This window comes from Homo sapiens, chromosome 6 (assembly GCF_000001405.40).
Source record: "Homo sapiens chromosome 6, GRCh38.p14 Primary Assembly".
Taxonomy (NCBI): domain Eukaryota; kingdom Metazoa; phylum Chordata; class Mammalia; order Primates; family Hominidae; genus Homo; species Homo sapiens.
This window is the reverse complement of record NC_000006.12, coordinates 9817829-9845502: the sequence shown is the minus strand read 5'-3', so window position 1 is coordinate 9845502 and position 27674 is coordinate 9817829. Positions and strand designations below refer to the sequence as shown.

Here is a 27674-nt window from a genome sequence, read left to right as displayed (position 1 = left end):
GTTGGATTTAATGCATTTTATTTATTTTGTACATATGTTTTGCTACTGATTGAGTATGGGCCAATTATAGATGATAGAGACCTCCTAGTTCACTTCACCTGAAGGGTCAGGTTTTTGGAAAGCATGACCCCATTTCATCCTAGGATACATTTGGGCCCCTTCATCTATATGATATTTCGGAATGGGGCATTACAGGAATGGTAATACAGCTGGGAGTTATATCTTACTTGTCTCCTAGAAAATATCAAAATCCTTGTTTCAGTGCGGGAACTTTTCAGGTTTGGATCTGGCAGCTGCCCTTCCTACATTCATGTATAGAAGATGCGGAAGCAGCAGGTTGCAGGGTGAGGGACAGTTCTCAAGTTGGATGGTCTCACTTTGAATCTCAGCCTCTACCCTTATGATAGTTAAAAGAAGGTAGTCAGCATCCCTCAGCATCCGTTTCTCATCAGTTAATCAGAAATAAGAATACCATATCGGATTATTTTAAGGGTTAAATCAGATAAGAAATGCAATGTATTTGAGAGAGTGCCTTGAGCATGCAGCATTCAATAAATACTAGTTAGTATTGTATACCAGTGGGTCTCAGCAGGGATCAGTGTTGCCCCAGGGAACATTTGGCGATGTCTGGAGACATTTTTGATTGTTAGTGGGATCTAGTCAGTAGATGTTAGTGGGATCTAGTCAGTAGAGACAAGGAATCCTGCTGAGCATACTACAATGTGCCAGACAGTCCTGCAACAAAGAATTATCTGATTCAGAATGTCCATAGTGCCAGGTTGGGAGTACGTTAGTGCTGCTTACTCACAGACATTTTCTTGAACTTCTAACCCTAGCATCAGTGCAAATAAGATATCACCTGGAACTGGACCTGTCTCCCTGTGAGGATTATCTAGTGTCTGAGAGAATAGGCTGTGCAGACAGGATTATGTATCACTAAGGCATCGCTTCAATGATTAGGTAGCTCAAGGCAGAGATGAGATGGAGAACAGCATGCCTCCTATGCCAAGCATTTCCAATGATAGGACTTGATACTAAGATACCTACAAGACTTTATATGTGAGAGAGTTCATTACAGGCTAACATTCAATAGTGAAAATAGGAACTAACCTAAATATCCAATGATAAGGGATCATTTAAATAAATTATGGTAGATGCCTAGAATACTAGATAATACCTAAAAATTATATGTTAGCAAAAAAAAAATAATACTCTTATGGCAAATGCCCATAACATACAAAGCAAAAAATACAATTTAAAAGATAGTATTATTCATAGCATCAGTCTCATTATGTAAAGAAAAATTTTTTTTAAAAGTGTGCCTTGCTAAACTCAGCTATAAAGAATAGAAGCCAGTATTTTTCCAGTGGTTATTTCTGGGCTGTAGGTTAATGGGTGATTTTTTTTTTGTGGGTGGTGATGGTGGTTTTTAATATAATTAAAACATTTTTAAATAACACACAAACACATACACAGTTATAAAATTAAGATGTGCTCTAGAAGAGAGAAAACAAGAGTAATAACATGCCTTAGGACCTAATGCAAAAGTGAACTGATGCCTAGATCTGGTTCCTGACCTAGAATATGGCTTCTCCAAGGGGACACACATCCGTGAACTTGTCTCTGGGTACCTGGTATCAGGTTACAGCTGTGACTTAACCTTTCAATGTGCATTGTGCTCCTTTCTCACTTTAAGGAAGGTATTTTTAGAAAATCTTTAATTACAAAGAACTGAGATTCTAACCAGGAACTGTGTTTTTTCTTTTTATCTTTTGGATTATAATCATGAATTTAGTGTCTAATTATTTAGATTAAGTGTTTAGAACATTTCCAAGTGCTTTACAATTCTTGCTAAGGGAACAAAGAAAGAAACTGAGGAAATCATCTCACTGTGGTTAACATAAAATCTTTGATGTCTACTAATGAAATCTGTTTACCTTCATAACTGTATAATAGGACCATTAAAGACAATAGATTCAGTAGTTTAAAAGTAATAAAATTTACAACAAAGTGTATTTAATTTGAAATTGAATTGCCAGCAAATGGGTGTCCTAATGAACCCTTGTGTCAGTGTAACTCTAACCAAATTAAGGGAAATCATTTGTATCACAGGCAACTAAATCAGCAATGAGACCCAAAAAGGCTATTCCTCTGCTGAGGGTATAGTCGTTGTCACAGATGGCCCTACTGATGGAATTAAGCTTAAGTCAGGAGATGTGAGATGTGGATCCTTCTTAATTCAAATGAATTTGGGAAGGCAGAAGAACACTCTCAGGATTGGAGAAGCTGACAACAAAAATAAAAAGGAGTCAACAATAAAGAAGAACCTCAAGATACAGTTAGTAAATGTTAATAGGAGGAAAAAAGCCTAGGGAACATTTCGAGAGTCAAAATAGATCTTGATCTCTAAGCACTGCATTAAAAAAAGAAAAACTTTATGTTATATCAGCTAATCATCTATATAATGGATTTTTTTCCCTCAAAGTTTCCCTAACAGTCTATTGAAGGGAGAGAGGATAGGAAGTGAAGTGGCAAAAAGTGTTATCGAATATTGGATCTGATGATTTCTGAAGCAAGTGACATCTTGAGAGATCAGTGGCCGATGCAGTGAGTCTTATGTTTTATAGGGCCACATCTCTTAAAAGCCACTCACTTTATATAGGGCCACACCTCAGAAGCCACTCACCTCGTCGATTTGAATCAATTGCAGCACCTGTAATGTGGTGTTTACCTACTTTCTAGCTAGTCTGACAAAATGTTTAAGGAAAACATCAAACTGTGTCGTGAGTCTAAAGGCAAACCTTTTTGTTACACTCCATTGTCAATTTCTCTTTCTTTTATCTTCTTTCTTTTTTAACTGCTGCAGAACTCCAAGTCAACCATTCATTGCAGACCTAAATATTTGTAAAAAGGACAGTGCAGCCCAGCTTGGTACCCTCACAGAAGTAACTAATGACTCAAAGGGAGCAGCAGGACCCCGCTGGAAGGTGAGGCTCTTGCCACTGACTTTTTCTCTGATGCAAAATGTTAAACGATGAGATCAATTGTATTGACCCAGCTGCCTGCTGTGCTTTTTCTCCTGTAGGACTCTTTAGAGAAACTTTAGCAGGTCTCTCTCTCTCTATAGATAGATAGATAGATAGATAGATAGATAGATAGATAGATAGATAGATAGATAGATAGATGAGAATTCTATGCTGAAATAGAATGGCTAAAAACTCGACAAAGCTACTAAAATTCCTCAAAACAGGTTGTCAGTAAGGCCAGGCTCCATCCCACTAGACAATGAGTCAGGCCTGCCACCATGCAAATGAGACGAGGCTTGAGATTTGATGAATCTTCTGTCTCCTTTCCCTACTTGGCTGACACTCGCTTTGAGGAAGGTTGTAAATGCAAGAGAGATTGTGGTATAATTCTTCAGACTGGCATTTCTGCCCCCTAGTCACCATTCGATTATCTTCCAAATTGCTGTGTTTCAGAGAGATAAAGATTTTTTATGGCTTGCTGACTTGAAACAACCACGAGAACCAGTGAAGAGATGGCTAAGCGGCCATGCATAGTAATTCCACTGGTAAATGACAAAATCTTTGTTTGTATGACATTTCCAAAATTACTACAGAAGATGAATCTGAAATACAAAATGTCACATTTGGCATGCAAAACTATCACAATATATTTCAGTATAAAATTCATAGAGGCGTTTAATTTAGAATGTGTTTAATAACTCACTCTGCCTGCATCAGTAATCCTGCCTTGAGGTTTAAAAAGATTGTCTTATTTATTCACATGTTGTTAATTTTTAAAATATTTTTGGAAACCAAAATATTAAGGTTAAGTCTTTATTGTTAATTAAGATTTTCTAATTAAGCCAAAAATAATTGTTATTCCGATTAGTTTTTAAGTATGATTTGTGTGAAAAAAAACAAAGAAAGCTGAACAAGTTTCAATGTTTATTTAACTGTAATTTAATTCCAGAAGCATACTATCTATATGGAAATATATATTATCTCCCACAAACTAAAGTCTAGGCAGGATTAAAAAATGCTTACTGTTGGCTGCAGATTAACTGGTGGTGCTACTAACTTGGGTTGCCAAGACAGTAGTAACTTGCTTCCAAAAAGGACATTATTTTTGCTTGAAGTACAAGGTTACAGGATCCTTTGAAGTCAAATAATTCTGAAAAATATTAGGGACTTGTAAGTATAGAAAACATGACTTCACTACATTTGAGTTATTATTAATAATAATCATAGTTTAGTTTTTGTTTATTCTGAAAAAATAGTCCACTAAAAATCTTATCAGTGTTTATAAAGTTTTCAGCACTTATTAAAAATGAAAATGACCTGCTTCTCTCAGCTGTAGGTGAAAAATGAAATTCAAATGCCCTGTAAAATATTCCTGAGTCATGTCTCTCAGTCACACACAATTCGTGCTAAATTTCAGGAAAGGGCACGTACAGATACTATCCCACCACCCCCTCCCCCTGCCATTTTTGACTCTCCTTTGAAGCCTGTGAGGCAAGTTGACATCATGTTGAGACTCTGGAAGTATCAGATCAAGTGAGGTGTTAGTCTGACCTGTTCTGCACTCTGCTCAACGTGGCATTATGGACAGTGGTTAGTGTTAAAGTCAGGACTGTCACCTTTCAGACTCCAAATTTGAAGCTTACTGCCCATGTTCACCCACCCGAGATATCTTAGAAGGCATGCTGTGTGGTTTTTAGAAGTGTTGGTTTCCTGTTAATTCTATCTTACTATAATAGGTGAATGGTTTCTGATGTCACAGATCATTAACATACCATGCTGAAAAAAGGCTAAACTTTCCCTCCCATCAACGGCAGGTTTGCCTTTTGACCCCCTAATTATATATCTTCTGTCCTCATCTGTTATCATTGGTAATACCTGACAATTACAGGTTGGATAAAAATAATTGTCTACTTTTTTCCCCCCTGAGAAGCCCATTGTTGCTAATTGTGTGGTTTCACCCAGTTCCTGCGTAATTCAAGAACCCCACCTTTTGTGGAAAATGAGCAGTCTCAACCACCTCAGCCTCTGCAAATCCAGATCAGATGCCTGAGGGGCCTTAAAGACAAGGCTCCTCCAGGCTCTTATGTCCTCAAAGTGTCCAAGTGTCCCTGCTTGGTCGACTGGGAGGCTGTGTCTTGCAGTGGTGGCAAACGGAGCAACTAAAGACCAGAAAACACTCCGTCAGGCACAATGGAAACTTTTATGATGTGGGGGTGTATTTCCACGAAAACCTTTATGTGGTAAGTAGCCTGTCTACATCTAGCCTCTTCTTTTTACTCAGCTTCTCCACTCTTCCTATCTATCTCCACCTTCTATCTTTGTTCATGTCACTTTAGATAAAATACTTTGTGTAATAAACATAAAGGATTTAATGCATGCCTACATTCATTCATTCATTCATTCATTCAGCAAATTCCTAGTAATCAACCATTATGTGCCAAGCATTATATAGTCCATAGGTAGAAACCCTAAATCCTGTGTAAAATGGAAAGGTCATTTTTATATATCAAGAACATACTTTATGGCTTCTTGATATAATTTTCCCCCTTTTCAGATTGTGCAAGCTGAGAGATCACTGACGTGTACTTTGTAAGTAATGCATGTGCATGCATGGAGGAAGTGAGGGTCACTGATTTGAGGTGAGAACCAGATGGTAGGTCAGAAGGTCGTTGGTGGGACTGTTCAGGAAATATATGATGGATATAGGGAATGTGTTTACCATACAAAGGAATTGTAGAGGAGACAGTACTAGGAAAGGAATCGGTGGGTACAATTAGAAAGTGATCTTGGATGCAGGGATTAAAACAGGGGTGGTGGGAAGTGTTAGGGGTGGGTCAGAGAGCATCAGGTTACCTGGAGAAACAGGGAGGGGCTTCTTTGGGATGTCAGACTGGACGGATTGTGCCTCCCAGGGAGCTCCAGCCCAAGAGAAAATGAAGAAGAGGGGCTCATCTCATGCAGATGGCTTGGATGCTAGGTATGGCACAGACTGTTCACAAATTTAAATTGCCTTTTACACTATTAACATCAATTTCTTAAAAAAAATTATAATCGTGATATTTAAGAAGAAAATAATTTTCCTTTAAAATAGGAGTGTACCTTCTTTCCTCATTTTCCCTTCGGTCTTGTGTGAAAAGATATTCTTTTCATCAATTTTATTTTGCGGTGTTTCACTAAGGATGGTAATATGCTCTTCACATGAACATATTTTTCAGACAATGTATTGTGTTTATTCTGGCTACTGAATGACCACATAAAAAAGTGTAAGTGAAAAATGAAGCTGTAAAAATGAACAATTTTGTAAAGATCTATAAACAACAAACGTATGCTGCTGTTATTTACCTCCAATATGTGAGAAAGAAACAGATTTCAACCCTCATTTCTCACCACCTTGGCTTTTTACATATCGAAGACCCTTGAGGACAGTGACTACTACTTTTTTTTTTTTTTTTAACTGAGCAGCAACTTCCTAGTGAATTGTAAGAAATGGAAAAAGTATATAATGTCCATAGAAGCCACTCCATTGAATAATGTGTGAAGTCCCAGATGACCACTTCGTTGTTTAGAAGTTGATAGGGGTTAAAAACAGCAATCAAAACAAACAAACAAAAAGGCCAGATGCTATGTAGACGTTTAGTGAATGTTGCAGCTCTTGGGGAGGAAAAGATCTCTTTCCAGACCCACCACAGGAGGCATGGCTCAGGTCCCTATAACAAAAGACAGACTAACAAGAGAAAAGCATGCACATTTTTGTAATAGAAGTCTTACATGACATGGGAGACGTTATAAATGAAGATCCAAAGAAGTAGATAAGCTTGTGTATTTTTATACTTAGGTTTGATGAAGAGTGGACAATCATGGTGAAATACAATTCGAGGACAAAAAAGTAAGACCTAATGGTAATAAACTGGGGGAACTTAGCAAGGGCTATTTGTTCAGATCCTTCTTGGACTGTCTGTGTTTAGTTTCTTTCCTCTGGGTGTGGGAAGGGTACTGCTCACATGAGGATCTTATGACCTACTTCCGGGGAGAAGTGTGAGGAAAGTGAACTTTCTAGGTGTTATGACTTGCCTCAAGGAAGAGCGGTGAGGGGAAGGTGAGAGTAGCTTTCCTGCTTAATATTTCGGGGTAGCAGATCTTGAATCTTATCACAGTTTAACCCTAATCCATATCCACTTCAAGCTTCAGACAGTTTGGAGAACTAGTAGAGACACCAGCCCTCTCTTTGAAACGGGCATTAAAACTCTTTCTGGGAAAGAATTCTTCGTAAAGGAAAAGAGACCTTTGATAAGATTCACCTAGAAACTAGGCAAGCCTCAGCTGGCTTGTCTGTGAGATAGGTACAACAATACCTGCCTACGAGAGGCATGTGAAAAATGACTGAGCTGACGCTTGCGGAAATTCACAGTGCCAATACGCAGTAAGAATTCAGAAGCTTCTTGTATTATTGTTGTTATAATTATGGTGTCTCTTTGTTAGTGAAGCCTAAAAATTCTTACCTGTTGGAATTTTTCTTAAATTAATATGATAAATGTGTATATTTCAAATAACCTTTTTTTTCCTTTATTTAAGGTTCAGGGGTAACATGGGGAGGTTTGTTATACAGGTAAACGTGCATCATGGGAGTTTGGTGTACATATTATTTTATCACCCATATGCTAAGCATACCAAGATAATTTTTCCTCATCTTCTCCCTCCTGCCGCCCTCCACCCTCAGGAAAGCCCCAGTGCCTGTTGTTCCCCTCTTTGTCAACCTGTGTTCTTGTTTTTTAACTTTCACTTACAAGCGAGAACATGTGGTATCTGGTTTTCTGTTCCCTGCCATTAGTTTAAGTAGGATAATGGCCTCCATCTCCATCTATCTTGCTGCAAAGGTCATGGTCTCATGCTTTTTTATGGCTGCATGGTATTTCATGCTGTATGTACCACATTTTTTTATCCAGTCTGCTATTGATGGGTATTTAGGTTGATTCCAAGTCTTTGCTATTGTGAATAGTGGTGCACTAAATATACACGTGCATGTGTCTTTATGGTAGAATGACTTATATTCCTTTGGGTATATGCCCGGTAATGGTACTGCTGGGTTGAATGGTAATTCTGATTTCAATTTTTTTGAGGAATTGCCACACTGCTTTCCACAGAGGCTGAACAAATTTACACTCCCACCAACAGTGTATAAGCATTCACATTCCCCGTAACCTTGCCAGCATCAGATAACCTTCAAATTAAACTTCTGTTGAGAACAATGTAGGTTAGTAATTTTTTTTTCTTCAATAAAGGATCCTAAAGGCCTTGTTAAGAATACTGGAGTATAGGTGAGGGTTGTTAGTCTCAATTGGTTGTGAAGATGATTTTTCCCCTGGGGAGCCACTTACTGTCAGAACCAGAATCTGAGGACGGGCACCACAAAGGCATCAGGTATTGGTCAGCTCCTGAACTGAGGACTTGGTCCTCACCATTGGTCTCAAAGAAATTTCAGGAATGTGGTGGTAGCTAAGAATTTTCATTAATAATTTTCTAGAAAGGGTCCAATCAGCCATCAGCCTAATGGGCAGTCACATTATTTTGGTGCATTGTAATCAAGTGCCTAAAATTTTAAAGCATGGAGCTGGGCTACAAAAAATATCATTCAAAGAGATTGCTTTTGAGAGCCATCTGCATAAATAACTATTTACATCAAAAGGCAATATAGAATGTTTTCATTATTGTTATTATTTGTTTAGATGCCCATTGTGTAGGAACATTAGAGTGTAAGCCACATCTATTAATATGTTTGGTAGGTAGAAGACATTCCACGTGAGCTGTTGAATGATTGTAACAGGGTATACTACAGATAAAATGCCAGGAGGGATCACAGGATTAAGAAGTGCATCACAGACATCTTCAGGGAGAGGGGATAGAACCACTAAGAGATTGAGGTTGCAAGATGTTCAAAAACCTAGAAGCAGAACTACCATTTGACCCAGGAATCCCATTACTGGGTATATACCCAGAGGAATATAAATCATTCAGTTATAAAGATACATGCACTGCAGCACATGTTCACTGCAGCACTATTCACAATAGCAAAGACATGGAATCAGCCTAAATGCCCATCAACGGTAGACTGGATAAAGAAAACGTGGTATATATACACTATGGAATACTATGCAGCCATAAAAAGGAACAAGATCGTGTCCTTTACAGGGACATGGATCTAGCTGAAAGCCATTATCCTCAGCAAACTAATGCAGGAACAGAAAGCGAAACACCGCATGTTCTCACTTATAAGGGGGAGCTGAATGATGAGAACACATAGACACATTGTGGGGAACAATACACACTGGGGCCTGTCGGGGGTGCGGGGAGAGGGAGAGCACCAGGAAGAATAGCTAATATATGCTGGGCTTAATACCTAGGTGATGGGTTGATCTGTGTAGCAAACCACCATGGCACATGTTTACCTACGTAACAAACCTGCACATCCTGCACATGTACTCCAGAACTTAAACTAAAAGTTGAAAAAATGTTCAGAGTGTTAAAAACTGCATCAAGTCGGTAGGGAAAAGTGAAGGCTGGCAATCGCTCCAATAATAAAATGTGTTTTCCCTTCCTGCCAAACAGAACAGAAAGTATCTTGGACTATTTGAAATAGCAACCCCCAAATTTTTTCCCCTGTGTCAGAACCAAGCAAACAAACAAAAAATAATTACCTCCTGCCACAGTCAAGGAAAATTTACTCTTTAACAGCCTGACAAAATGTCACTGAATTACATCTATCCCTTGGTATCACCTAGCAAAATCCTGGATCCCCAAAGAAATACACTGGGCTATTTCACATTCAGTGTATATAAGAAAAGTACAAAATTCAGGGTGAAAACAAACACAAGAAAAGCACCAAAACATCCAGAACTTGACAGGAAAGAGAAGTCAACTGAGGCTTTTTGCTTTCAGAATAAAAATGCTGTTGCTTAAAGTCCTATTCATTCCAATGGGCTCTACTCAATAACATCAGGTTTTTTCACTAACCACACAATTCTGCCTGCCCGTCACTCTGCTGGTAGTTTGTGGGAGACTGACAGTTAAAACAGTACATTTTAAAGCAATGTAGTTTTGTAATAACAGGAATAAATTCACCAAACACATACATGTGCACTGTATATATAAATGATATAGGGACATTTAAGATATTTATTTCATTACATTTTAAATACAAGTCTAAGACAGGTTTATCTTTATTCTCAGTCCGTGAGTTGGAGAAATTGGCTTCCATAATGTCGTTTGAGAGTGCAGAGCATCTTATGAATGCTAATTGGAGAGCGATGGTTATGTATTCCTGTGCAAAAAGAAAGAGCCGAGAAGCACTACCCAAATGAATGGGCAGGGCTTCATTCCAGGTGAAGTACTGACTGTGAGGAGGAAAGTCACTGTATACATCTGTAAGGTTACATTTTTAATGGATCTTGGAATGAGGTTACAGTGTTATAGCATCAAGGGTGGCTTTCCTTTGGCATCAGGCCGGGCTAGGAGGCAAACACATGAAGGTTAAGTGGAAGGATTACGTATAAGTATTTGAGATGGCTCCTGAGGAAAGCTGTGGATATATGAGTAAGCCCAAAGGTGTATCACTCCAGACACCAAAGCACCACTTCCAGATACTATCACTTGGATCTTGTCCCAAATAACTCTACATCGTAATGTTGGTCTTCCAGTATTGTAAGGTGGGGCTGGTCAAATACGGTGAGTTAATTTGTCTCTATCTCAGTCTCCTCATGTAAAATGAGGTAATAGCAACTCCCTTATTTGAGTTACTGTAAGAATCATATTAAATCAAGTTAAATTATGGACTCTAAGCTTAGGCACATTCGCTTTGAGTATCTTGCTAAAAAGATTTTGAATAATTCTTTGGCAGAGACATTTGGAGCCTACTTGTCTTCTGACATTTAACCCGGAACTATTTCAAATAGAAAACATTGCCTCCTTTGTTGATGGTGTTCATTAACAATGAATAGGCTTAGATCTCTGGGAAGAAAAATGCCCCAAAATAAGCCTTGTGACTTTCAGTTCTGGCAGGATGATGACGTAAGTGTTGAGGTTATCTTATTTTCCCATCCTGCCGGGATCAGGAGCCAAAAGTCATATTTTATTTTCTGATTTTGTTCTATAAGCACCTGGAAATTCTAGATAAGATATAACCAAAAGGATTTTAAATTCATAAACACTCAACAGTGAATGGGATCTCCTTGGGTACCAGGAATGAAGAGGAAATTAAAAACTAGAGAGGAAAATGAGTAAACTGGGGCTGTTGCTGCCTGGGAGAGGGGAAAACATATAATCAGTCTTGTTGATCTTAAGGTTCGGATTCATTTTTGGCTTGCATTTTTTACCTTTTTATTTTTATGTACTTATTTTTAATTGATACATAATATTTGTATATGTTTTAGGGGTTCAAGTGATATTTTGATATATGCACACAGTGTGTAATGATCCAATCAGGGTACTTAGGGCTTCCTTCACCTCAAACATTGGATTTTAGCGACCTTTCAGGAGATGAGGCTTTGAGCCTTTTAGGTATAGGGTGTTGAAAGAGCCTTTTCCATAAATTTTGGATACTCAAAATGTGTCTAAAAGGGATAGATAGACAAAAAATGTGTCCAGTAGATGGAGATAAAAGAAAAAAATCTTTTTTGGAGAAATAAAAAGTTTATCTTTCTCTATGTTTCATTTAAAATACTGTTTCTCCTAATAATCTACAGTAGGATTTCTATAATAGAAAATATATAGTGTTTAAAATTAAAAATATTTATCATAGAGATTTGACCCTCTGAACAAAGAACTTCTGAACTGGAAGCCAGATCTGAGGAAACTTCCTAGACTACACCTCTAAGAGATGAAAAAAGTGAAGTGAAAAGTGATTCGTAGTGATTTGCAAAGATTACAGAGAAGGTCTAACATACATATTATACAATTTCCAGAACAGAGACTAGCTAGAACGAGGGAAAGATATGAAGGGATTAACAGTTATTTATTAATTTCCCAGACTCATTGGAAGACATGAACTCTCAGATTAAGGGAACAGAAATTCTGAGATGGACAAAGTAAAATCAGTCCACTTCTGGACACATTCTAGTGAAACTTCAGACAGCAACAGTAGAGGACTGAAGACAATAGAAAAATATATTCAAAATTCTAAGACAAAGTTGATAAAGAAAAAAAATGTACTCACCTAACCTATTATTCAAGAGTGGGTCAGAGGTGTCGCAAATGAATACATTTTTGACTAAGGATACTGTATTTGTTTCCTAAGTCTGCTATCAGAAAATACCATAAACCTGGTGGCTTAAAATAGCAGAAATTTATTGTCTCATGGTTCTGGAGGCCAAAAGCCTGACATCAAAGTGCTGGCAGAGCCATGCTCCCTCTGGGGCTGCGAAGGAAGGGCCTGCTCCTGCCTCTCTCCTAGCTTCTGGCATTCCTTGGTTTGCAGATCCATCACTCCAGTCCTTCACATAGCCTTCTCCCTGTGTGTCTTCACTTCGTCTTCCCTCTGTGCTTTTCTGTCTCTGTGTTCAAATTTCCCTTTTTTATATGGACACCAGTTATATTGGGTTAGATTCCACCCCAATGACCTCATCTCAACTTGGTTAAATCCTAAGAGGTTCTGTCTCCCAAAGAGGTCGCATTCTGAGGTACTGGCGGTTAGGTATTCCACCTGTCTTCTTCTGAGGCACACCATCCGACACATAACAAGTATACCCTCAATGGAATGCTGAAAGAACTTACAAAGGGTGTCTTTCAATTACAAGGAAAAAGGCAGGAATGAATAACACCTTTGTATTTTTTTTAATTTCTGAATTTGAAATGTTTTGTAATTTTACAAAGGAATATAAAATATGTGCCTTTTCTATTCTATTTTAATAAATATAAGGCAATTAAGAGACCTTGAATAACAAATGGAAGAAAAAATGATCAGATAATTTGCATAATTAAATGATTATTTATTCAACTAATTGACTCAATGAAAACTCAAAGTTAAGTCAAAAGGTTGTGGCTACGGCATCTTTAGTTTTCACAAGACAAATATGCCACAGTTTGGAAACCATAGTTTTAAACCATTCAAATACATGTGAGAATCTGTCTTGCTTACAATTTGCAAGATAAATAGCTATAAAAATAGTACTATAGGAAAATATTGTTATGAGAAAATTACACAGATCCTTTGAGAGTTTGGTGAAAGATCTTACTCTGGCTTCAATTGTATTTGGTTACTTATCCATTAATGTGGATAAATACAGAATTTTTAGACCAGTACAGAAGATTGAGAGAGAAATGTGTTAAATCATTTTTTAAAATGTAAAGTCAGATACAAATTAAGAACTGTGATGATTATTTTCTTATAACTGATTATCTCACATTATTATGCTTTTTGGTGACATTTTGCAATATCATTATTGAACTTTGACAATGGTATCTGAGCTGAAAGAACCTTCTGTTAATTATCAGCTAGAACTGTTATGCTTGCAGTTCTCATTTTCAATGGGTGTGAGGATTGGCCAACCTAAAACAATGATACAAATAATAGGTTAAAGAAGCAAAAACAGCAAAATTCAGGCAAAGAACATTGATTAATGAATTTTTTAAAATTCTTAAAGGTCATGTACTCAAGTTTGACTAAGCCTCAGGCAGATTTAATGAACATGACCAGAGCCTGCTGTATGCAGTAGGTAACCCAGGCTGACTCCAAATTTGCTGACATTACAGGGTTGTTATTTCTGGAAGGATATATAATTCTGGAATAATTTCTTTAGTGGTTCCATTAAGACTATGATTTCCTTCAATATAGGGTTACAGATTTCATTTTTCACATTATCCCACACCACAAAGAAAATAAAATCATGTCTTGGATCGAGTGCCTATGTCAGCCAAAGGAAAAGAAATATTTAATTTTGATGGTACTTAACCCCATCTTATTTGATAAGTACATCTGTTTTTTTGGATCACATGTCAGGGTGTGAGTGATGAAATTTAATGACTGCTAGTTTAAAGGCAAAAAGTGATTTTGCTTACACTAAATTATGCAATCTTGAGGACTCCTTGTGGAAGAAGTAAACAGATGCCATCATATGGATGGTATTAAAGCACACGCCATAGCAAAGAAGTTACTGGAACAGAGATCTCAGAGAACAGAATGTGGCCACCCAGGCTTCCTTATGACAGAATATGGACGTTTATTAGTCCCTAACTTTCAAGAAGTTCTGTTGTTTAATTATTTGTGATCAGATGAGGCTTTTTCTTTGGACAAAGAGAATAAAATCAATTTAATTACTAATAAAATCTTTTGGGAATGCTATCATAGGAGTTTATTTTTGTATATTTAAATGAAAGGACTAAACACCGTAGGCCAAGATAAGGCAGAATGGTGATTCAGTGTGTGTTTTATAACCTGACTAGAATTCTGGCTCTAAAACGAACTTAGCAATGTGAGTTACAGCAGTTTCTCAATCTGCCTGTGCCTCCCCTATTTCAACTGCAAAATAGTCATCACAATAAGCTCCATCTCCTTAATCTTATGATGTCACCACCAGTAGGGTACTAGGTCAGAGTAAATGTTATAATTCAGCTCAGTGCCTGACATACTGAAAGACTAAAATAATGTTTAACTTAAACCAGCTTTAAAAAACCATAAACAAAACTCAAATATACACCTTCAATGAAATTTTGGTTAACTAAAGAATGTCGTTATTCTTCCTGTCTATATCATGTCCGTGATTATATTGTTTGAAAGGATATATGAGCTGCTGTGAATGAACAATATTTATACTTTGATATCTTACATCCTTCCTTTCTAAAACCAGTAAAGTTTTTAGACCCAGGTAGAAAGGAAAAGTTTGCTTTTCTTTGCCCTAATCCAATATGAATGGTGCCCGTAGAAGAAGAGGAGATTAGGACACAGATGCACACAGCGGGAAGCCTGTGTGAGGAGACAGGAACAAGATGGCCATCGGCAAGCCAAGGACAGAGTCCTCAGGAGAAACCAGCCTTGCCAACAACTTGAGCTTGGAATTCTAGTTTCTAGAATTTTGAGAACACAGATTTTTGTAGCCAAGGCACCCAGTGTATAGTACTTTGTTATGGCAGCCCTTTCATACAAATATAGGAGGGGCTTATGAAAAACTGGTGACAATAAATTGTTCTTTATTTTCTGGTAAGAAAGGAGGAGCCACAAAATACTTCAACCTTTTAGAAATCAACATATGAATCTGGCATCACTGAAATGAGCTTAATCTGTGATAGGAGGGGTGCCTGGCTCCCCTGTTCCTTTCATTTAGCCACATTAATGGAGGTTTTGGGTAATTGTAGGGTACACGTAAGTACCTCAGAGAAAATCTTACTGAAACTTCCTGTGCTGTTAGACTATTTCTTGGATCTATAGAATTTTTAAAAAGCATACCAGCCAGTTAATATGTATATATCAGTGTGGCAAGGTGTCATTATTACAGTAGTAGATGGGTACCATTTTTGTTTTACTGGAGGGAATCCAATATGAATAAAATAGCAACTTTTCAAACATGACATTTAATCCATGCATGTAAATCAAACTGAGAATCTATTATTCATTATTAAAAGGGTGGCATATTTTTATTACACTGAGAATGAAACACAAACACTGTGAAAAATTTAGTGCCTTTTCTTGAAATTTTAAGACACTTACCATATAGTCATCAAGCTGGGACTGGCACTCACTTTAAAATATAGCCATAAAATTAATAAGTTTGAAGTTTTATGCCCGAAAAAAGGATGCTCAATTTCAGTGAAATAGGCAAATTTATTTTTTATTTAAAGCTTCCTAAATACTTAAGATGGTCAAGTACTTCAGTAATGCTCCAAGTCTGATATGTATATGAAGAATATAGTTCATATTCCTGTCATTATTAGTCATGGCCACCATGTTCTTCCCTGAGGTGCTTCCTGAAAACCGCATATATCAGAAACTGATTAAAATGACCTAAAGTATTAATTCTTAAAATATGATGAACCCAACATTTTGCAAGAGGTTATTTTCTGTGTGACATTTAATATCTAAGAATTGAAATGATTTTAATAACTCATAGGAAGGAACAGTCTTAGGAAAACTAGACAGGCACATGATTGCTTTTATTGATTATTGGTTATTACCATTAATAATGGAGAGCTCTGGAGTATATTGTGCACAATATTATATTGTGCAGCTTTAGAAAGTTTTTCATTATATCAGTTGGAGGAAGTCCCTTTGTGTTAGTTCTTAAAAGGGTCACTTCTGCTGGTTAAGGGGATCTCGGACTTGTGAGACTCTTGATGGCCAGTGGCCCTTCCTCAATGACATGGGCAGTCATGGGGCATCCTACTTCCAGCCATGGCCTCTCCCAACTCAACCCCCCAACTTGCTTCCAACTGCTACTGTACATGTGCCTCTCCAGTCAAGCAAAGGGACACCCTACTCTCTTGCCCCTTGTCCCCACGAAAACAAATGAGAACTTGACCCAAAGTGTAGTAATGAAGAACACATCTTTAGAGTGAGGCTGAGCAGAGTTGGAATCCTGGTTCTGCTACTTACCAGCAATCAATACTTCAGGAAAATAATTTAAAATATCCCTGGCCTCCGTTTTCTCATTTGTGAAATGGGAAACTAATATCTAATTCATAGGGGTATTATGAGCATTAAATAATATGATGTATCAGCTCTTTAGCATAGTAGATTGCATGTAGGAAATAACTGGCAGCTATAGTTATTTTTATCTTTATAACAATAGTCCTTCATGTACAATGTTCTCTGCCTTCCTCTGTATGTTGACTTTCTACAGTCTTTCAAAACATTTCTTTAAAAAGTCTCAGACAATCCTTTCTTAATTTTCTCCTTTGAGAAAACTCAGTTTACACTAAATGTGACGCTACTTTTGTCTACATTACTTGCTTCTGGGTGATGTGAGAGGTTTTAAGGCAATGGATACAGAAAATCACTGTATCACTTATTCTCTAGGAGGAGTGGGAGAGTACCATTTACTGAGTGTCTGTAGTGTGCCAATTACATCACTATGCACTTAACCTATACTATCAATGCTAACATCACACAACCAAATTCATTGTTAAACCCATTTTGCAGTTGAGAAAAACTGAGGTTTTAGAGATGAGAACTTGCTCAGATGTTTGAAGCTGAACTTAAGTCCACATGTGAGTGATTCCCCAGTCCAAACATCAAGGTTCACAACATGCCCTAAAGGAAGCAGCAATCACTGATATATTAGTTTTTCATATCTGCAAATTACCCACCAATTTCTATCCTTTTTCTTTGTATTTCTATCAGATTTGTTTCTACGTCTAAAGCCAACCTTCTCTCTCTTTCCAGTCTCTGCTTTCTGCCTCTCAAAGGATAGGCTCTGTATTATGTAGTAAATTAACATTCAGAAAAGAGGCTGTCACATTGCATGACATTGACAGGTGGTCATTCAATCTTAAGAATACTTGGCAGCACCAGAATGTAAGATTCCTGACAGTAGGTATTTTGGTGTTTTGTTAACTTCTGTATCATCAGCAACTAGAAAGGCATCTGTCTTAATAAATATTTTCAAAATAAACAATTCTAAGACTCAGAGTCACATTGAGGTTGTAAAAGAAACAACCATTGACTACCTTTTAGTTGAATTTTTTTTTTTACTTTAAAACATTTTTGGCGTTTTATGCAGATTCACATTTTAAATTTTATAATGCCATAAATCCATCTTTGTCCTTTGTGTCTGTTCTCTACATCTGTTCACATCCAATGTATTCAGAGTTAAGAATGCCCTAGTTACAAAATAGTAGTTCTTGTTCACTTGGCATGCAATTCAACAATCAAATCATTTTGAATTCTCTAAAGAGGAGGAACTTGCTTCTATATTTGAACTCACTCACATTCAGAGGGAATATGCTTTAATATTTCGACATCTATACAAAATGCTTTACAATTACTTTTAAGGCATTAATTCTCCTATGAACGCTGAGTGAAGTCACGAAGGACTGAGTAGGGCAAAGAATTTTTCCAAGGTCACACTGCCTGTTAATTGCAAAGGATGGGCCTGGCTATCTTTTCCCGTCATCTGCCTCGTACATATATAAAGCAATAGTCAATGACTTTGAACTGATGAGGCTCTCAAAGCTTATGGTGGTGGCAAAAAACAGATTTATGTTCAAACAAAATCATCACTAAACTCTGGGACCAATAAAGGTCAATTTAGCAAACTGCAAATCAGGTCATATCCAGCCTCTGCTCAAGATTTTCCATTGCATTTAGATCTTCACTGCATCTATAATAAGATCCAAAATGCCTTACCTGGGCCTTCAAAGAGTATATGATCTGGCTTCTATCCCATTATCTACTTTCATTGCATTCTAGTTTTTTGCTTGTGTATTTTAGTTCAGCCTCACCGTCATTTTCTGAACACACTGAGCTCATTTCTTGCTGCAGGGCCACTGAATTCATTACTGCTTCTTGCTTAGTAGGGTTTTCTCTCACACCTTGACATGGCAGTTCTCAGGGTAAGGGTTGCTTCCTTAGGCAAGAGTTTCTTAACAGAATAGCCCCCTCCTCCAGTCATTTTCTAGTCCATTGCTATTTATTTTCATTATTTCAGTATCAATTGTGACAGGCTAAACATTTATCACTACTGATGAGGTCTCATATATTTGTTTATTGTGTATTCTCTTTCCTATCAGACTATACTCAGTGAGAGTAGAAAGCTTTTTGTCTCACTCAATTATTTTTATCCTCAGTGCCAAAAGTGGTGTCTAAATGCAAAATAGAGATTTAATAAATGTGCATGAATGATTGAAGGGAAACACTAAAGTCAGAGATAGGGGGTTTTGAGATAGTCAACTCAATTCAGTAGCTGGAGAAACATGAGCAAGTCATTACTTTCCTAAATCATTTTCTTCAATCACCTGTAAAATGGGCTAATGTCGACAACGTTACAAGGTTGATGTGCAGATCAAATGTGATAACGTGCATATAAGAGCTTTGTAAGATATAAAATGCTGCACAGGCATTAACTTCATTGCTAGATATCTTTGGTGCAATGTGGGCTGCCCAAAGGGAAAACGTTGATGAGCAATTATTGCCAAAAGTTTTCTCCTTTCCAAATGATATATTTCCATGCTCCTTGTAAAGCCATTTGTGGTTAATTTGTTGGTCTTTGATCTAATCAGGCTGCAGATGTTCAGAAATGCCATCTTTTTGTGCATTGAGGCTCACTCACTGGAGTTTGTAAAAGTAATGGGCTGTGCCCAATTTTTCCCCAATGTGTTCAACTCTCAGGGACAATGAAAGGAAAGATCTATCTTTTGCCTAACAAGGAGAAACTAAAAAGAAAATTTGACTTTTTGTTTTCACAGTCAAAAAAAAAAAGTGAGAGAGAGGAGAATCCCAGAACTGAACTTTCTAAATTAAAATATTCAATTAGATTTTTTCCATCTCTCTAGAGTGAAATATTCGTAGTTGAACATCTGAGTAGCATGTGAAGAGATGAGTTATGACATATTGAGGTTGAGGTCAGGTAATGGAATTGCAATATAATGAGATGACATACCATATATTTTCTCTTGATTTTAGTCATGTTTGATTGAAAATGGTGGAAAGGTCATATTGCTTAACCAGTAATTATTCAGGTATGACTCAGTTAGATTTTAGGCAGAAATGTAGTTGTCGTAAGCAGTAGAGGATCCAACATATGATCAAGGATTCACAAACCTGGCTTGCTTATCTTTGTGTCCACACTGGGTGGTGATTCTCAGGAAAGTGTGGGCTGAAGGACCATCTGATTCACGATTACCTCACATTCTTGTTAAAATTCAGAGTACCAAGCCCCACACCAGACTCACTGATTCAAGGTAAGCGTGAGGTCTGGGAAGTCTACGCTTTCAATAATCACTCATGGGTAATTCTTTTACAAACTAAATTTCTGAGACTGAGAGTTTAGGGTCTTGAAAACATCACAGTATGATTGTTGGTGCTTCTCAAATAATTAAATTCGTTGTTGAGAAATTGTAAAATTAGATTCAGGGACTTTAGGTTTGCGAGATCATGGAATTGTGCCCTTCATTTAAGGAGAATTTTTATTCAGAATTATTCATTTGTAAGCTACTGGTAAACTTAGCCCTTTAGAAAGACTTATTCTTTAAGAATCCCTGATAGTAGGATTTTATTGGAGTAAAAATGCTTTTTCTTGATAGGCAATATGTCTGTTTTGGTTAACAGAACTCAAATCAAGCAATTTAGGAGAGAGAGAACTGGCTAGATACAGAGAAATATCTGGAAGAGGAGCCCCAGCTTCCCAGTTTGTAGGAATCCTGAAGAGCGGTAAATAGGATAGAGCAGAATGACCTTGAGGTCTCTCACCATGAATCCGAGGTGGGTTGTCCCTAGTTGGCCCCTCCTACATTCAGGAAGCTTAGCGTGACTGGCTGTGGTGCAGATTGCCTAAAATCAGATCCAAGCTCTACCCTCCACATCTGTTTTGTATAACCTTGGGCCTTCCCTCAGTTGTGTTATTTGTAAAATTGAGTCTATAGAATCTACTTTATAGGATTAGGTGGCTATTGAGTTTATAAGGATAAAGTGCTTTTAAAAAGTGTCTTGCACTTAGGACATGAATGTTAACTGCTGATATTACACCAATTTTTAAAATTAAGGAACCCAAAAAATAATTTTCCTAAAACAGGAAGCTGGAACTACTAAATTTGACATGAGAATGCTGGTTTTCCCATGGTATAGGAAGTAAGAATCTCTCTCTTCCGTTAAGAAGCAGTGACAGTTGTAGTTGTTACTACCCTGTGTTCTTGATCCCTAGGCCAAGATAGGTTTCTAAGAATAGCTACTTTTTCTTATCCTATAGCAGAAAGACTGGAGATTAGAGCTGATTTACCTATTTATTTTTCTGGACTGAGAGAATAGAAAAAACAGTAATGGTTTTATGAAACTTTCAGGGGATAACCTAGATGACTCTATTCTGTGGCTTCAATTCCCACTCAGGTATTCAGAATTGTCTGCCTCAAAGAGAAAATTTTGTTATTTCTAATGCACATTAAGTATACTGATTTGCTGTGTTGACTATCATAGAATATCAGATTTGGAAGATATCCTTGAGTTTAGTTCCCATTCTCCTTGTCTGACACACCGTCCTTGGGCCTGTGTCTGGATCCTATCAGTGTCTCTGCCTGTACATTTGCTTGAGAACCTGTGGATTAGAAATGATAACCTCAAAGGTCTTGTCCAAACTGAAGACAAGATTCCTTGATCATAATGAGCAAAACACCTTGGGGGAGGAAGAAGAATTTCCTGATGAATAGGCTTTCATGAGAAAATAATTCTGTCTCTCTCTCTCTCTCTCTCTCTCTCTCTCTCTCTGTGTGTGTGTCTGTCTGTCTGTGTGTGTGTGTGTGTGTGTGTGTGTGTATACAGGCATTTGAGAAAATAATTTTGACAATATTTAATATGATAAGTATTACACATGTTAATATGTATTTAAGTATGTGTTTAAGAGGAGACAACATTAGAAGTTTAGATTGCTATGATACTGCATTAGAGTCCTGAATATGATGCTAAGGAATTACAATTTGTATGGTAAATATATGATGTCAGTTAGGCAAAAGCAACCAAAAGTAGAGCTTACAATAAACCAAGTTTCTGGAGACCTTTTGTGCAGTGCCAGGAATAAAAGTAACTTTATGTGACCAGAGGAAAGAAGCAGGGCAAAGAAGTGAAAGTTAGATGTTGCCACATGATTTATAACATTTTATATTAAATTCAGAATTTCATGATAAAGAAATATGGATACTTGCCTAAGTGTGTTCCTTTGACAGCCATTAATGAGTTTTTTGTTAGAGATCATTGATGAGTCTTTATGATTTCTCCTTATCTTTGATTTTCAATCAGTTTCATTATGATATGCTTGGGTGGTATTTCCTTTGTATTTCTTCTGTTAAAGATTCTCTGAGCTTCTGGTTGTGTAGATTGATGTCTTTCATCAATTTTGGAAAATTCTCAGCCGTTATCTCTTCAAATATTTTTTCCTGAACTATCATCTTTCTCTTCTCATTTTAGGATTCCAACTGTATGTGCGCTAGACTGTTTATTATTGCCCCACAAGTCTTTCATGCTGTAGCGTATTTTACTTTTTTATTCTTTTTGACTTTATGCCTCAGTTGGAATAATTTCTATTGACCTCTGTTCACCTGTCCTTTTTCTGTTGTGTCCATTTCTGCTGTTATGCCCATTTAATAATTTTATTATTTCAAATACTTTAGATTTCTGTTCTAAACATTTTTAAAGTTCTCTTCTTAGCTATTGAAAACTTTTACCAGCTATTTCTATCTTTTCCTCTAATTTTGGGTCCTATTTATAATGATTGTTTATGATCTTAGTTAATTCCAACATCTGGCCATTTGTGGGTCAGTTTCATTGATTGGTTTTCTTTTGTTCATGCATCACATTTGCCTCCTTCTATGAATGTCTCACAGTTGTGTATTATATGCCAGATATTGTATATAAGCCAATTACAGAGACTGGAGTGGAAAATATTTCTCCTCCACAAGGGCTGATCTCTCTGATCAAATCAGGAATTGAGCTAAGTTGGGGTTGGGTTTATAGCTTTAGTTAGTTTTAATTTACTACCAGTTTCAAAAGCTTTAAGCTGTAAAAGGTCCCTCCTTTCATCTGGGCTTGCTTATCCATGCACCATGTAACTGACATTCCGCTCTGCTCTCCAGCACTGTCCCGGGATTTCTGTGCCACTGAAAATCTCTTTTTGCTCCCTATCTAGACTCAATTGCCCACATGCTGCTGAGCACTTGTTAAAAGTCCCAAGGTTGAGAATTGGTGAATAGTGAGAACTTGCTCTTTGTCTGAAGCTTGTATGTTTTCAATATTCCATAGAGCCCATGATTGTTAAAAGTTCAGCCAGTTTCTCTTTCCCCTGCAAAGTAGTCTACCCAGTGACTGTTCTGCTTCCTCACCTGTTTCCTGGCATTAAAGCTGCCTCTATCCTAGTTCATATACGAAGCATTTATCCCTCTGTGAGATTTAGTCTCACCTAAATTTCTGTGTCCTCAGTCTCCCAATGGGTTAAAAATATAATTATTTTTCCTTTTTATGATGGAAGTGTTGGTTACTTTTGATCGTCTCCATCATAATCAGAAGCAGGACCTTGAAGGCTCTCTGATTTCGAAATCACTTAATATACTTCTTTTCTGTAAAGATAATAATCATTACAAAAAATCAGAAAGTCCAGAAAAATGAACAATGTTCGTGAATATGCATGTTTATAATGTTTGCATCATTTACTCTAGTCCTTTCCGGATTGTTTTAATTTAAAAATATACCAAAAAGTAATTTAAAAGTGTATCCTTTACATTTTTAAAGTGTAAGGAATTTTGCTTTCTCTTCCAATCCTTCATTCAGACTTCAAAATTCCCATTTGCTTCTTGGATTCCGTTTTTTCTCCATTCACCTTTCACATGTACCTTTCGCGATGTGGAAGATCAAATGCATCACCCTTATGCTATGCGGTGGAATTCAGCTTTGTAGCAGCTCTTCCTTCCAAAGGGGTACTCTTCTCTTTTAACTTTTATTTTAGGTTTGGGGTTCATGTGAAGATCTGTTACATAGGTAAACTCACGTTGTGGGGGTTTGTTGTACAGATTATTTCATCACTTAGGTATTCAGCCCAGTACTTGAGGGTGGAGGGTGGGAGGAGGGAGAAGAGCAGCATCACAGGGGTGTTCTTCATGGCACTCATTAAATAAAGGGACTCTGAGGCTCTTATGATCGCCACCTACCAGGACTGTCATGATGGAGGGCATTGATAGTTGGGGGAGACCAACACATATATTTTTCTTAACATATGGTATTTAGCTACAAAGCTACTGAAAAATCCTTATGGGAATGTCACTTCATAGGATAGCTATGGAAGTACTCAGATTTGTGAAAAGGATCTTCTGCAAAGTACACTGAAATTTAGTGGCCTTTCTTGCCAAAGAGGAAAGGAATGAATTACAGGCTACACATTGCAGGGCAGAAGATTTCTGCTACAATCTGCAGCAAAGGAAAGGCACCAAACGAATAACTACAACTGTTATCAGATAAAGTCATTTCCTTTATTTAATAATTTATGGCTTTTATTTTCCTTCTCAGTATCGGTGACTAGGTTTGGTCTGGTTCACACGCTTAACTATTTTAGGGGCTGTCAGGGTAGTTGTGTATGACTCCTCCATCTTGTAGAACGCGTTGAGATGAAGTTCCTCTTGAGCTGACACAGGACTGCATGGTGTTAATTATTGTGCTTGGTAGCCTTGAACTATTTCTCATACGCTCAAAAAAAAAAAAGATGCTGCTGTTTTGCATGTTTACAGGTGTATTTTAACCTTGACTATGTTATTTTTCTGTTTATTAAAATGAACTATTACTAAGTCATCTTAGAAGTGGTTGGGATGGTCCTAGAAGAAATAAATTTTAAAAAGGCACATTTCATATTTTCTGAGAATTTTTGTATTTACTAAGTGCATAATTACATTAACTTTGAGAAGAAGATATTTATAGCTTTGTTTTTTATTGATGAGAGAACTCAAGTGCATGGAAACTTACATATGAAAAAAGAGAAGTGACTTCCTAAGACTGCAACAAAATTAATGATAGAATTGGGTCAGTACTGGACAAATTCTTAATTCCATCTACTTTGAATGTATAGCTGAATACATAGGAGTTTAGTGTAACAGGGGCTCTAGTTTTCACTTCTAAATGCAGGGCTAAAAATAGATGAAATTATTGTCAATAGCATCAGTTCAACTTGATCTTTAAATGATGGCCCAAAACAGGATTCTGACTCCATTTCTTCTCCTTCTCCTGATTTAACTTTTATTTTCGTATCACAAAGGTTACTCACAGCCAACTAGCCAAATGAAAAGTACAACTTGAATAAGGTTCTCTTTTGTCAGTAATTTGTGCCTAATGTTTTTAGCTTTCTCATAGGCTATCGTAAAAAGAAAGATAAATCTGGTTTAAATAAAACCTGATCCTCTTAATGATTTAATAGCAGCTGCCACAGGGTTATGGCATTTTTCAACAGATGCCTCTGTTTCATTTTATACCTAAACTAAGTCTTGGAATATTTATAAAAATCATATACAATATACCTACACACTTTTGGTTAAATATATTGTTTAAAAATAGTCTAAGTCCCAATCTTTGTCTACTTGTAATTATCCACACAAAATTCTAAAAAGAAATCCAAGGCTGTAACCCATTTTGTTAAAAAGATTATTTATGTCTTGCATTTCTCTAAATTTTGTTTTAAGGTCATGGAATAAGCTCCATCTCTACATCTGGGGACTTGATCAGCGGCTTGGTCATTCTGATTATTTCACCCATCTTTACACTCAGTTCTATTTGTTTAGCACTGACAACTTGCTTATACAGCGTGTGCATTATAGTGTCAACTGACATAAACAGAAAAATCACAAAATTAAATAGGACTCTATTTTTTCTTCCAGAGGTGGACTTTGGAATAGTAATTCCAGTTATCATCATGGGTAGGATAATTTGCGATAATTTGTTTAACCACTTTTTAAAAAGCATTTGTTCTGTGCAATGCAGTTGTGCTGGGTAAGTGAATGACACAAAAATGAATGGCAGGCATTCAAAACAATGACTATTATGGAAGATAGAAATAGTTATACAGTAGAGGTGCCAGCTCGATCAAAGAGGAATGAAAACACAGACTACTATGAGAGTGAACATGTTGCAAACTTGATTTCTAAAACGTATAAAGTTTAGAATCTTTAACCAGCAGGGTCAAATTTGTGTAGGTCACATTTTCATGGTTGCTCAATTACCTGGGGCTGGAAGGATTGTTTATGTAAATACATCCAATAGTGAGTTTTCAAGGGCAAACCACAGGAGTATAGACCAACGTTTTACTTAATTCTAAATTGTCTATAAGCATCACTGAATGTAACGTGTTTCTAAAACCACAAGTGTCCCAATCTTCTCTTTTCTTAATGTTTTTATAGGTGCTCCCTCAAAGGAAAAATGTGAGCCCTGGCATGGTTTCTTGTTTGAACTCTTTCTTCTTCGTGGAACATACACTTGCCTGGACCGGGCTGTGGGCTGAGCAGTGTTCCCTTTGTGTAATAACAACTTTGATACAGTGGAGGGAAAATTTAAGTGTCCCCTTCTATGAGGACATTATGACCAGAAACTCAGTAACTTTAGGAAAATTGAAGATTTGATTTGCCTGGACTTGGACCACTGGCTGTGCAATCTCTATTTTCAGGTTTGCAATATGATTTTTTAAGTGGCAAGGAATTAAAATGTTTTCTAAAGCTGCTTCTTTCTAGCCTTCAGCTTCCTTTCATGCCATTGGAAAATTTAATAAGTAAAGTAGCATAGAATGGTAAAAGTTATTACATCTTAATGCTGATTTCTGATAATGCAGATTAAATAGATATTTAGAAACAAGGAATAAAATTATAGAATTAGTGGGAAATTTAAAGATCACTTAATAAAATCTTCTATGTTGTGAATGGACCAGAGCTGCCACCCAAGTCTCAGTTCACAATCTGTCACTGCTGGGGTGGAGTGTGTAGCTTCATCTCATCAACATGAGGATGGAGCTCTGGTAAGTTTCCTTATCAAGGCGGATCACTTGATGCCAGGAATTCAAGACCAGCCTGGCCAACATGGTGAAATCCATCTCTACTAAAAAAATACAAAAACTAGCCGGGCTTGGTGGCACGCACCTGTAATCTCAGCTACTTGAAAGGCTGAGGCAGGAGAATCACTTGAACCCAGGAGGTGGAGGTTGCAGTGAGCTGAGATCGCGCCACTGCACTCCAGCCTGAGCAACAGAGCAAGATCCTATCTCAAAAAAAAAAAAAAAAATGTTTACTGAGCTTCTATTGTGCGTTGGGCATTGCCTCCTCTAGGGATGCAAAAAGGATAAGGATTCCAGCACATTTGTAGTGCGTTCTTTGTACCCAAATTTATTCTTCCCGATGATGTTTTTCCAGGTTGTTTGTGTCATATAATGCCATAAATTGTTCTTCTTCCCCTTCATATTTGAAGTTTTCTTTATATCTATGTAATGTATCTGTCTGTCTGTCTACCTATCTATCTACTTACCTAACTGATAGAACTATTAAATTGGGTGTTCCCAGGAAGCACATGTAATTTCGTCCTTAAAATCAGTAACAGTCTCCCTGTTTCCTATTTACTTTGAGTAGAATTACCTGGCATTTTTTCTTCTTATTTAATTCCATTATAATGTTTTGCTGAAATATCGTGTTGGGGCAGTGTAGGTATGCTATTAATAAAATAACGTTTATGTGAATATGTACCTGCCTATTCATTCTGGAAATAGTGCCATCCTAAGATAAATCTGATTGCACAGTAGAATTCTGTGGGAAGTTTTAGAAATACTGTTGCCTGGGTTCTAGTCTCAGATACTTTAATTTAGTTGTTTTGTGGTGGGGTGTCAGGCATCAGAACTTTTTAAAAACTTCTAAGAATCAGAAACGCTGATATAAATAAGCTTAAAGAGGAAGACTATTATAAATGAATGTAAAAAATATTGAAAATTTATCTAAAGGTTGAAGATAACTGTAGAA

General features: G+C 37.0%; 1 pseudogene across 1 annotated transcript in view; it reads left to right on the top strand.

The window, feature by feature from the left end:
- OFCC1 (orofacial cleft 1 candidate 1 (pseudogene)) overlaps positions 1–27674 on the top strand; it is a 506631-nt pseudogene that overhangs the window by 366106 nt on the left and 112851 nt on the right. Inside the window, exons 8-9 of the transcript NR_170155.1 lie at positions 2867–2987; positions 4989–5266. The product of NR_170155.1 is annotated as an orofacial cleft 1 candidate 1 (pseudogene) (transcript). The remainder of the gene's footprint in view (positions 1–2866; positions 2988–4988; positions 5267–27674) is intronic.